General features: G+C 41.5%; 1 protein-coding gene across 10 annotated transcripts in view; it reads left to right on the top strand.

Moving 5' to 3' along the window:
• Window positions 1-12,199, top strand: part of SAXO1 (stabilizer of axonemal microtubules 1) — a 121,690-nt gene that overhangs the window by 90,347 nt on the left and 19,144 nt on the right. For 9 of the 10 annotated variants that reach the window (NM_001287049.2, XM_024447428.2, XM_011517745.3 and 6 more), the window contains one exon: window positions 8,056-8,235. In NM_001287049.2, the coding sequence (NP_001273978.1) occupies window positions 8,213-8,235 (23 nt within the window). In that variant the 5' untranslated portion in view covers window positions 8,056-8,212. Of the gene's footprint in view, window positions 1-8,055; window positions 8,236-11,285; window positions 11,449-12,199 lie in introns of those variants that run through there. The other variant, XM_011517747.3, reaches the window with a different exon arrangement.

Genomic DNA, 12,199 nt, shown 5'->3' with positions numbered 1-12,199 from the left:
CGTTTCTTTGTTTGATCCCTGTGACAGAGTTTTCTTACTCTTTTTGTCAGTTTTTCCCCCAGAAACTTATTTTCCTTCTTCGCAAATACGGTTTCTCCAAGGTTTTGTTTTTATTCCTTCCTCTTCTCTTCGAGCAACTTCATTCATATTTTTATGGCTTCGTTGTTGTTCCAGATGTCTTCCAAACGTATGATTCTGCAAGTCGTCATGTTCAACAGCCTGGAGACATTTCCTTCAGAATTCTCTTCTCTTCCTTTCCCTTCCTGCACAGATATTCACCCCACCCCCATCCTAACCCAGCGTTTTGGCTGGCGTGGCTTAATTGATCTAGGTAGTCTTTTTCACTAAACTTGGTGGTAGCCTCTTAATCCTTCCAGCGTGGCACTCAGGCAGCGACTGCTAGTTGGTATATCATTTGCATCTCTTTGTTATATGCGTACCAAATAACCATTAAAGTTGCTTTTCTCTGACTTATACTTCAGGGGTTGGCCCTGCTTTCTGTTATCCAATTTCTGGTTGCCTGAGGGGTTAGTCCTTGTCAGAAGTTCTGGTTTACTTATTTATTTTCTCAGACGGAGTCTCCCTCTGTTGCCCAGGCAGGAGCGCAGTGTTGCTATCTCGACTCAGGGCAACCTCTGCCTCTCAGGTTCAAATGATTGTCCTGCCTCAGCCTCCCGAGTAGCTGGAATTACAGGTGCCCACCATCACACCTGGCTAATTTTTGTATTTTTAGTAGAGACAAGGTTTCACCATGTTGGCCAAGCTAGTCTCGAACCCCTGACCTCAAATGATTCACCCACCTCAGCCTCCCAATGTGCTGGGGTTACAGGAATGAGCCACCGCACCTGGCTAGGATCTGGTTTATGATCCCTGATCATTTCACTGGCACCATGAGTGGAGTATAAGCTGGAGTTATTCAGATTTCTCTCACTGTTCTGATTCTTTAAAGATCTCTACAGACGAGGTGTAGGTAGGGAGTATGAGATATCTTGCCTCAAGATTGCTGTAAAGTATATCTATGTCCAAAAGTTGTTATATTTTGCAGTTTACTTGTCCTTTGGCCTCTGGGTATATCATAAATTAAATAGAAAAACTTTTAGTAAATACATATTTTAAAAGTTTATAAACCACTGCAGGTAAACACAAATGCACTTTAGGAAAAGTGTGGGCTTTACTCTTTCCCTGAGGCCAGTTGGGTTGTGGGGGTTGTTAAGACAAAACACCATTCCAGAGACATAGATCCTTCTTTGAGAAGGCCTTGCCTGTAGTATCCAGAGTTTTCGCTATTCCAGGCACCCTAGAATCATTCTAAGCTATTGGCATGGAATGATGAGTTTTATGACTTGGTGTTTGGCGATCCTGGGCAGCTTCCCCTCTCCTAGATGGGGAATGCATTATCTGCACTGCTTTCCTCCCTTGAACAGCAGCTGTGACAGGTCACAAGCTCTCAACTACTGGGAAAAAGGAAAAATGGGCTGCAAATCCTTTAAGAGTCTGAACTTTGGGTTTGAAATTGGATTGTAAGTGGAGGTCAGGTATGTGGGAGGTGATTGGGCCCTGGCGTGAAGGCTGCTGCTGACCAGCTGTGTTACCTTGGGAAGTAACTCAGCATCCACATCTGTATACTGAAGTGGTAGGGCTGGCCGATCTGTAGGGTTCTTCTACATCTAGCGTTCCATTTTATTTCCCTGATTATTACCGTTATTGCTTTATCTAATGACACTCTCGTTTAAGCAGCAAAGAAAGTTCTGTGGGAAAGATCAGAATTTTAAAGAGGAGTGGAGTTAAATCTATTTGTTGGTCTGTATTGGGATATTTTTAGGTCAGTGGGAAAGAGGAGGATGTCTTGGAAGACTCTGAGTGTAGCTGAGGGAACTTGGAAGGGCAGACATACTATTTATTGCTGCCCTTAGGTTTATCGGAGCAGCCAGAAAAGAGAATTACTTGGTACAGGCTGGCATTCCATCAAGCCATGTTGTGTACGGCTGTGATTTAAAAGCATAGGCTTTGAAATCAGGCAGACCTGGGCGTCCAGTTGTGCCTTTGTCACCTTCTGGTTATGTGACCTTGAGGAGGATAACATCTTCATAGCACTGGTTTTCCTATTTGTAAAATGGTGATGATAGTGCCTCGCTCATCGCATTGCTGTGAGATTAGATGCAATAATATATAAAACACTTAGCCCGTGTTGTGCGTAGTAATTGCTCCACAAATTAGCCTTTTAATTACAGCCTGCTTGCTTTGGACAGGGCTAGGCATTTGAATTCCAGTACCTGATTTAATTCACATAATCATACTAAGTAGTAGAAATTGTTATCTGCAGATTAAAGAGGAGAAGATTGAAGTTCGGAGGAGTTAAGTGGTTTTCTCAATGTTACACAAGTAGTCAGTGGCAGAGCTAGGATTGGAACCAGATCTTCCTGCCTCTGAGCCCCTTTCCACTATGAACCCTGCCTCCTCGAGTGAAGGAGAACCCTCTTCACTGCCCACATGAGGCTAGGCTCAGCAGGGGATCCAGAAGACTGGTGGAGGCAAGACAAGTCATAAGTATCCTACAAGATGCTGTCCTTTTTATAGATTAGATTCTAAAAAACTATTGAAAGTTCATAAGTTTGAAAAGCCCAAAGTCACGTTATACCAGCTACTATTCAAGCTGCCAGTTGATTGCAGGGGAAATGGTCATGGATTTGTTTTGATGAACAGCTTTGTTTGCAGCCATGAAAATTCTTAACATGAAAGTTGATGCTGGTCATGGTGCTTATACCTGTAATCCCAGCACTTCGGGAGGCTGAGGCAGGAGGATAGCTTGAGCCCAGGAGTTTGAGACCAGCCTGGGCAACATGGCAAAACTCCATTTCTACAAAAAAAAAAAAAAAAAAAAATTAGCCAGGTTGTGCAGTGGTGCATGCCTGTAGTCCCAGCTACTTAGGAGGCTGAGGTGGGAGGATTGCTTGAGCCCAGGAATTTTGAGGCTGCAGTGAGCTATGATTGTGCCACTGTACTCCAGTCTAGGTGACAAAGTCGGTCCCTGTCTCTAAAAGACAAAAAAAAAAGTTTAAAAGTAGAGGCTCATGCAAGGCTGTGCAGTAGAAGAAGAGGTGGGGACATAATCTCATGCACACTCTGAGCAGAAGAGTCATAGCCAGTAACTGTGTAGTGGGATCTTCAGCAGCTTTGTGGGGAGGCAGGGGTGGGAGTGGTGGCATTGAAGATGGGCCTTGAAGACAGAGAAAAGTGAGAGTGGCAGGAAAGTGAGCAGCTGCAGCTAGTGTTCCAAGTGCATAAAACCGAAACTTGGTGCTATAGATTGAGATGAATTATGGAAGTAAGAAAGACTGCTTTATTTGTTATTTGTTTTAGTGCCTCTGATTATGCCATATGAAGACAGGTCAGAGAAAGCCTAAGAAAGAGACGGATATTGTATTAATCAACAAAAAGTATTTTTTAGTGTTTTTATCTTTCCTACACTTTTAGAGTAAACTTCCAGTACCCAAGTGCTTGCAGTTCTTTTGTCTGTACCTTCGAATTTTAGATCTGCACTTTCCAATAGGGAAGCCACTACCATATGTGGCTGTTGAGCATTTGGAATGTGTCTGGTCTGAACTGAAGGAAATGTACAAGACACACTGGATTTTGAAGTGTAGTAAGAAAGAGTAAGAAAGTAAAATATCTCATTAATAATTTTTAAATGGATGTTGAAATGATAATTTAGGTATATTGGGTCACATGAAACATTAATAAATTAATTTCACTTGTTTCTTTTTACCTTTTAAAAAACTTTTTAGTTTTTTTTAGAGATACTACATCACCCAGGCTGGAGTGCAGTGGCTATTCCCAGACAAGATCATAGCACACTACAGCCTTGAACTCCTGGACTCAAGCATCCCCTCTCCTCAGCCTGCTGAGTAGCTGGGACGATAGGCAGGTGCCACTATGCCTGGCTTTTTTTTACCCTTCTAATGTGGCTACTATAATAGAAAATTAAAAATGACGTGTATGACATGGCTTGCATTCTATTTCCATTGGATGATGTTATTCTAGAGGAACCTATTATATTCTTGTTTTTTTTTTTTAACTTTTTTTTCTTACCTGTGTACCAGTGTACCAGTGCAGTTGTTATATTCTTAAAGTTCTGTTATCCATTCTAGGATTGCCTGAGAGTCATAGATGACTTGAGCTAGTTGTATGTCAGGAAATGTACCTAGTCCTTTGGAAGTGATAGACGCCTATCCTATGTCTATGACTGGTTCATGTACATCATTCGGAACTTCAGATTTTTCATCTACATAACATAATGGAGATACTAGAACAGATATTTCCCATGCCCCCTTTCAATTTAAAAATTCTGTGATTCTAGGCTAGGTGTGGTGGCTCATGCCTGTGATCTCAGCACTTTGCGTGGCTGAGGTAGGTGGATTGCTTGAGCTCAGGAGTTCGATACCAGCTTGGGAAGCATGGTGAAACCCTATCTCTACAGAAAATACAAAAATTACCCATGCATGGTTTTGCGTGTCTGTGGTCCCAGCTACTTGGGAGGCTGAGGTGGGAGGATTGCTTGATCCCAGGAGGTCGAGGCTGCAGTGAGCTGTGATGGCACCACTGCCCTCCAGCCTGGATGACAGAGTGAAACCTTGTCTTAAAAAAAAAAAAATTCTGTGATTCTAGCTTGGAGCCAATGCTCCAAGTTTTGTTAATTATTTATTAACAATTAACAGAATCAAGTATTGTTAATTATTTCTGAGATCCATCATAAGGTCTCTACTACTCTCTTTTCCAAGTATCAGAAAGTCAGTGTTATGTCCTTTTACCCCTGGGAATTGTGAATTCTGGAGTGGAAAGACTAGAGAGTTCTGGTAGGCTAAAGAAACCTCCTCTCTCCCTTTTCCTTCCCGGCCTATGGATCCATCTGGGTATGTCTGTGGATGTACCTGAGCAAGGTGGCGAGGGCAGCTCTTGGAACGACCCAAGTATCACAGAGCTTGAAGAAGTTTCAGTTCTTTGGATCATGGCTGCCAAGCTTACTTTTAAATGCCCTAGGCAGGGCAATTCTACAAACTTTCTTTAGATACTAATTAGTTCTTAAACGTTGAGAAATCTGTCTTTCCCTTTTTGGCTCTACTAATGTTAGAACAAATTATTTTCTGTTCCTTGATAACTTCTAGATATCTTTCTTTTAGCAGATCATCCTCTTACACACTGTTTATCCATCTATTAAATACGTATATAATATTGGCTAGCTTCCAAAACAAAAAGATGTCAGACTTGATCTTTGTCCTTGAGGGATTCCTGGTTAATGAGGGTTGGGTTGATCACCAATGAGAAGACATGGTCCTGGGTATCTTGGGAGGGGTATTCAGGGCATTCATGGTGCAGGTAGGGAAAGGAGATGACTCCATGAGCACACTCAGGCAGTGAAACATTTATTTTTGCATAAGGGTTTTTGATATTTCAAAGTGAGACAAGGTTTCAGTTAACCAGCAATAAGTCAAAGTCTGCTCTATAAATATGTTGATATAATTCCATTTAATGGAACATCAGTGTCTGGATAGAAGCTTGTTGCTGTACTGACATCTCCTTTCATGATGCCAATCATATTGCAGTATATTGCCATTAAATTTATTTTTCTTTTGGAATAAATCCTTAGAGTGTGTTACATTTTTTAAAAGTAACAATATGGAAAGGGGGTTATATGAAAGTAGTTTTACCAGTTTAAAAAACAGGGGCACTGAAAAGGGAAAGTAATCACTCTGCCTGTGGAGCCCATTTTATTATAAGTGCCTGAAACTAAGTTATCCTGAATAAAATCTTGACTTTTCTTTTAGAATGTGGGTGAATAAAATATACATGCAGAGGTATTTTTGGTAGCCAGTGCTTCTTGGCTTTCGATCTGAGGTTTGTCGGAATCCTAAAATGATAGGGTACTAGTTGGCTTAAATTGAAATCTCAGATAGTCGGACCGATTGTGAGCACAGAAATGGCAATAATATTTAACATGCATCCGCTGTGGGCGATGGGTCATTGGTTTACTATGCAAACATAACAATTTGTCTCTTGAATGTGCAGAAGATACTTTAAAGTTCTCAATTTATTTGCCAACAATTAGGAGATATTTTATTAAAGGGGTATAAAATAGAAATACATAGCTTTGTACACTAAGTGCCAAGAATGTGCATGCTGAAAAAGAAAAAGCACACTTTTCTTGATTGTATTTAACACTGTGAAATTTAGATATTTATACTATAAGGACAGCATATTTGTGGAAGATTTTCCTTGTACATGATGAGGAATATCTAAAATATTTACCATGAATCAATACTGCTTTTATAATACAAAGTAAATCAGGCAATTTCATGCCTTCTTAAGGCATTTCTGATAACAAATCTATAGGTGAGAAGAAAATAAGTAGGGATATCTCTAATGGTACTTGTTAATATGCAATTCTAGCCATATGAACAGTACAGGTGTTGATGATTTTCTCTGGAGAGTAGATGGACGAGATGTACATAGTAACAACAGTGGTGGCAGTAATATTTATATAAAAGGTTGAACTTACTAGCAGGAGCAGCATGCCAGCTGTTGCCTGGAAAATAGCTTTACATTAGAGCAGTGAGGAATTCTTGGTTTCTTTCTCTCATTTTATCTCCCTTCCCCCATGTACTTCCCCAAAGTATTGCATTTTAATTTCTGTGATGAAAAATCAGTCCAGTGTGAAAATGGGAAAACAATGCTATGCCATTCATGAAGGTAGCTAAGTTGGAAAACACCAGCATGGAGTTTTTGCTGATGTGCTGGTGCCTGATGATGAGAGGGACCCCAGCTGGATTGTGAAGATTGTGGGCACACACAAAATTGATAAAATGCCTTCACTTAGTTTTTGACAGCTTTAATAGCTGACTCAGTCCAGCTGTAAGTAGTAAGTAAATAAGTAAGTTTCATTTACTACCATGCAAGTAAAATGGAAAAGCTCACTATAAATTTTAACTGCTAAATACTATTTATCATTTGTTCAATTCATTCATCACTAGGTATAAAGTTTATTTAATTATTCACGTATACACTCAGTCTTTCATTCAATAAATATTTACCGAATGTGCCAGTATGCAGTAAACATTTACTGAATGAAAAATTTAGGATATGATATATAGAGATGTACATCATGTACGATGAACAGTGGACAAGGTTGAAAAATGTACAGTGTACACGTACAGTGTAGCAGTGAACAAGGTTGATAAAGGCCCTGAGCTTGACAGATGAGACAGACAATAAACAAACTTGCCAACAGACATGCCAGTCACAGGTAGCTATAAGTGATGGGACAGGCATACACAGGGTGATGGGAGAAAATATGTGCACACACAGGGAAGAGTAGTGGGGAGAGGGGATACGACGGCGAGGTGGATCCTGGGTATAAGATGATTGGCGGAAGTCTTTCTAAGGCTGTAATAACTGAGGTGAGACCTGAAAGAATAAATGAGGGAGACTTTCAATGTGAAAGTGGTTTCACATAGTCAGTGGTGTCTGGTGGACTCAGAACTAAGGTGATTTTGCTTTGAATGATGTCATTTGTGTACAGTGATGATATTCCGAGTTGACCCAGGAGCTAACCAGTTACAAAAGACACTGGCTGGCCCTATTGGAGAGCCTTGGAGCACCCTGTTAGGTCAGTAGTAAGCCCTGAATTCCTGGGCTGTTGTGAGACCTCAGGGGAGGACCTGGGGCAGCTGGGTGGCACTCGGAGAGCTTGGGGACACAGCCATTTCTCTATTATGGTATGGAAATATTTCCCTGCTTACACAAGCAATGTGGCATGTGTGACAGCTTGTGTGTAATTCTCTGATCCAAGGAATTTTTATTAACCAATTGTAGTTACAGACCACCTTTATATTCTGGCCACTTCACGTAGTTTAGTGGAAAAAAGTAACCGTTGAATTCTGGTTTTCAATGTTGGCAGTCACATGATTTTACAGTCTGAGTCACATTTGGCGGAAGTACTCTTAGGAAATTGGGTTTTTTTCTCCCAAGAAGGTAATCAACCTAACTCTGTGTCTTTTATAGGCGGCATCACTGTCCACATCTCCCTACCAAGATTTATGATAAAACAGAGAAACCATGTCTTCTCTCCGAATATACCGAGAACTACCCTTTCTATCACTCCTACCTGCCCAGAGAGTCCTTCAAGCCAAGGCGGGAGTACCAGAAAGGGCCTATACCAATGGAAGGCCTGACTACATCAAGGTGAGGGCAAACAGTATTAATGTATGCAGGTACATACAACACTAATGGAGTAACATGCAGTGCTAATGTATAATATTAATGTAATGTGCAGTGCTAATGCATTAATGTGCAGTATCAACATATGATATTAATGCCTTAATGTACTATATCTCTGAAGGAATATCCTGCATTTATGAGCCTTCTCAGTTTTTTCCAAATTCTCTGTTAAAGAGAAAGGATTCTTGCTTGCTGAAGTAAAGGGTGGGGAAAGGCTGGATTAATCTATATAATATAGGATTGGAGGTTAAGAAAAATATTTAAGGGATGGAAAGAGTGGGGGATGTTGCTGAAAAGCAAGTTTTGGGCTTTGTTACATGAAAAGCTCCAGGCCAGCTTGGGTAGGTGGGGGATGGTGGTGGTGGTGGTGAAAGGGAACTTGGCAATAGAGAAAAAATGAGCTTTTTTTTCTCCCCTTAAAATTATGCTGCTGTAAATTTTGAATTGGGGTTCTCCTGAATGTTCTTCAAGAAAGATGAACAAATAATGTTTTGCTTTTAAATTATTCTTGACTCCCAAACTAAGATTGTTTAGCTCTAGGTCTGTGCAGAGGCTGAGCCACATGGTTCAGTATATTAGCGTTGCAGAGGTGTTTCTACTGAGGGGGTGCAGAAAAGTTATCAGTTCAGGGTTGGTCTATAAGCAAGGCTCTTGCAGAATCTGCCATGGACAACTCAGTTAGTGACCTGTGACTGGTGATCTAGTAGAGTGGAAACATCTTTGAGTGCAGTTGGGCAGTCTCAGATTGTATAGTTTTGTCCTTAGCTGAGCCCTGAAAGATTGATGTGTTCTCTGCCTTCCCGGTTCCTCATCCCTAAAGGGCAGGGTTGCTGTGAGGTGGAGATGATGGTGAATGTTGACTGTTCCAGCACAATGCTTGCACATCGGTGCCTCAGACCTGGTGACTTTTCTTCCTATTGCTCCCTTTTGCTTCATGATTTTGTGCTAGTAAAGGTCCCAGATGGTCTAGGTGAAGCAGAACCATTCTAATTCATTCTGCCTTCAGGTTTTCTCCAGAATAGGACTGGAAACATCTGAGACTGTGAGTTGGAGGTGCTCTTCTCTACACAATGCTGCCATCTTCTAGATCCACGGGAAGTCCAGTCTGGGTAATGGGGCAGGAGCACCCACAATGGGAGAAATGAGGCCAAAGGATTCCTGAGCTTAGTGGAAACCACTGGACAGGGGCTTGAGAATGAGAGGGAGTTGAGGGCCTTGTCTGATGCTTGACTTGAATCAGGCCACTTAAAAAAAATTTTTTTTTTAAAACAAGGTTTCCTTCTGTAGCCATGGCTGGAGTGCAATGGTGTGATCATCGCTCAGTGCAGCCTCGAATTTCTGGGCTCAAGTGATCCTTGCCCCTCAGTCTCCTAGTAGCTGGGACTACAGGCATGGACCACCATGCCCAACTAATTTTTAAACTTTTTGTAGAGACAAGGTTTTGCTATATTGCTAAGGCCAGATGATTATATTTATTCTAAGCATGTATCTTAAATGATTTGGTTTAAGTGCAGTGTTTGTGTGTCCTGATGTATTAAAACATTGTAGTTTATGCTGCTGTTTTTTCAACCTATGACTTATTAAACAATATGAACACTAAAGTTTGGGCTTCATTTTGCTGGGAAAACAGTATTCTTTGTCTCTGAGAGTCTAAAGACCATAATAAGAAGTGTGAACCATTTCTGAGCATTGCTTTTGTTTTAGGAAACCCTGGTCAACACCAAGTAAGAGTCCTAGGCACATGTATAAGGGACATGTAATCGGTAGGAAAGGGTGAGAGTAGTACTGAGGGGTGGCTTGCAAATATCTTGTTCGGTCTCCAGGTGTGGGTCTTTTTATCTCTTTATATCCAATTTGCAGGAAATGAAGAAGACTTTGTGAGATGTCTAGTTGGCTTCAGACACTGATATATTTCCTATCCTGAAAGTATAGACAGGGATGCTTTGAAGGTTGGTTGTTGCAGGTTGCTTTGTTAGCTGCCCAAAGCTTAGGAGAATGGGGACAAACCCTTGGTCTGGGGCGGAAGACCTGCCCCAACACCTAGCTCTGAGGCCCCCAGATGCAACTCCAGGTACCCTCCCTCCTCCTGATGGTGCTTCGCTAAACAAAAACTTACCCTCTGACCTGTCCTAAATTATCCTTGCCTTGTGTCACTTAAAACAATAAACATATCACCCAGAAGGCCCCTCTGCCCCTGCCGGAGTCAGAGTAACAATAAATACCATGTACATCAAATGTGGCTAAAGTAGAGGAAAGCAGATTCTGCAAGAATTTCCAAAATAAGCTGTTAATGAACATAAGGGCCTTAAAAAGAAAAAGTGGCAGGATCAAGGTTGTCCACAGGGAGGAAAAGGAGCAGATATGAATCTCTTTTTATTTCCTACCCTAAAAAGAGAAGTAAAGGGGAAATGAGTAGAAGACATCTGTGTTCTCTTTTCTACCACAATTTCATTATTTCTCAACCCTGTGCCTGCCATGATAGGCACTACTGTTCATAGACCGAGAACAAAATTATGCCACTGTCAGGAAATGTAGGGAAGCTACCATCTGGGTGTTCCCCTAGAGGCTTACAGGGGAAGGGATGCGTCAGCCCAGTGTCTGCACAGCCCAGTGTCTGCACACCCTTGTGTCTGTGCAGATTGTCGTCACCCCTCTGCTCTTAGCACTCTTATTACTGGAACATCCCACCCACTTCTTTATCTAAACAGTGACCCTGCTTAGTTTCTGAGGTTGGACATGAGGCTCCCACCTGCTGAATGAAAAAGTCACGTGGTCCAGGGCTTTGCTGGGTTTGGTGATTAAGCCCAGACACAAAAAAACACCTGGTTTCTGGAAAGGTTATCATCCCAGCGTGAGGCATGATTATAACTGCACACAACTCTTACTGACCATAAATCTTGGGGATTTACAGCAGGTGCCATGAGGGGAATGCTTGTGATTTCCAGCCATTCTTAGTGTGAAACTCTTTCTTGCAGCCCTTGGTAATTCTCTGGTGTAGAATCTGCCTTTACTTCAGATAGACCTGAGATCAATTTATGAATAAGAGGTTTGCACTTCCAGCCTCATTTCCCCATAGGCATGTCACCATGTAAAACACTTGGATCCCAATTTGAGACATTCTGTTAGCTAAACCAGCTCGCTAAAGATGGGCAAAATGAGCAGCATCAGAAGAAAGAGGTGAGTCTTCAATGGTGTTAGACGTTTATCCTAAAGGGAGTGGGACCATGGGTAGAGTGGAATGGAGGCACAGAGTGAGGAGATAGAATTGAGTTCAGACTTGATGGGTGTGGCTGAAAGGCAGACGGCAGGGAATTGGTAGCATCGACTCTATCACTTATTTGCAAGACTCCTTGGTAAACCAAGGAGAGTAAGGGAGGGAAGAGCTAAGAGAGAAAGGGCATTTAGTATCCTCCCCAAAGGTCAGGAAAGAAACAAGAGAGTTAGTAGCAGGCTTGAGTCTTGCACTGCCCATTGAATTTTATATATATATTTTTTGTTCAAAGAGACACCTGACTCTCTTACTCAGAGCTGTACCACTGGGCATATACTTAGCCTCCATAGCCTGGGCCTGAGAATTAGTGTGAACACAATGTAGGTAGAGTTCTCGGCACTGGACTTGCTTGGGCAATCTCAGAGCCTTTGAATTGTCTATACTGTATTTCTGAGTAAATTTGTAGACATTTTGGCCATTATTTCTTCAAGTAATTTTTCTTTCACGGATGCTCTGTTCACTTCTTTTCCCCAATCTTTTCTCCCCGTCCTCTGTTCTTCAGATTGGATAGTTTCTATTAACCTAGTTTCAACTTCAAGTTTTTCTCCCTTATCTCCATTTTGTGATTAAGGCCATCCAGTGAATGTTCTACTTCACATATTTTGCAGTTTCAGAATTTGCATTTGATTCTTGTTTTATATAGTTTCTATTTATTTT

Source organism: Homo sapiens, chromosome 9 (assembly GCF_000001405.40).
Source record: "Homo sapiens chromosome 9, GRCh38.p14 Primary Assembly".
Lineage (NCBI taxonomy): Eukaryota > Metazoa > Chordata > Mammalia > Primates > Hominidae > Homo > Homo sapiens.
This window is presented reverse-complemented; position numbering and strand designations above follow the sequence as displayed.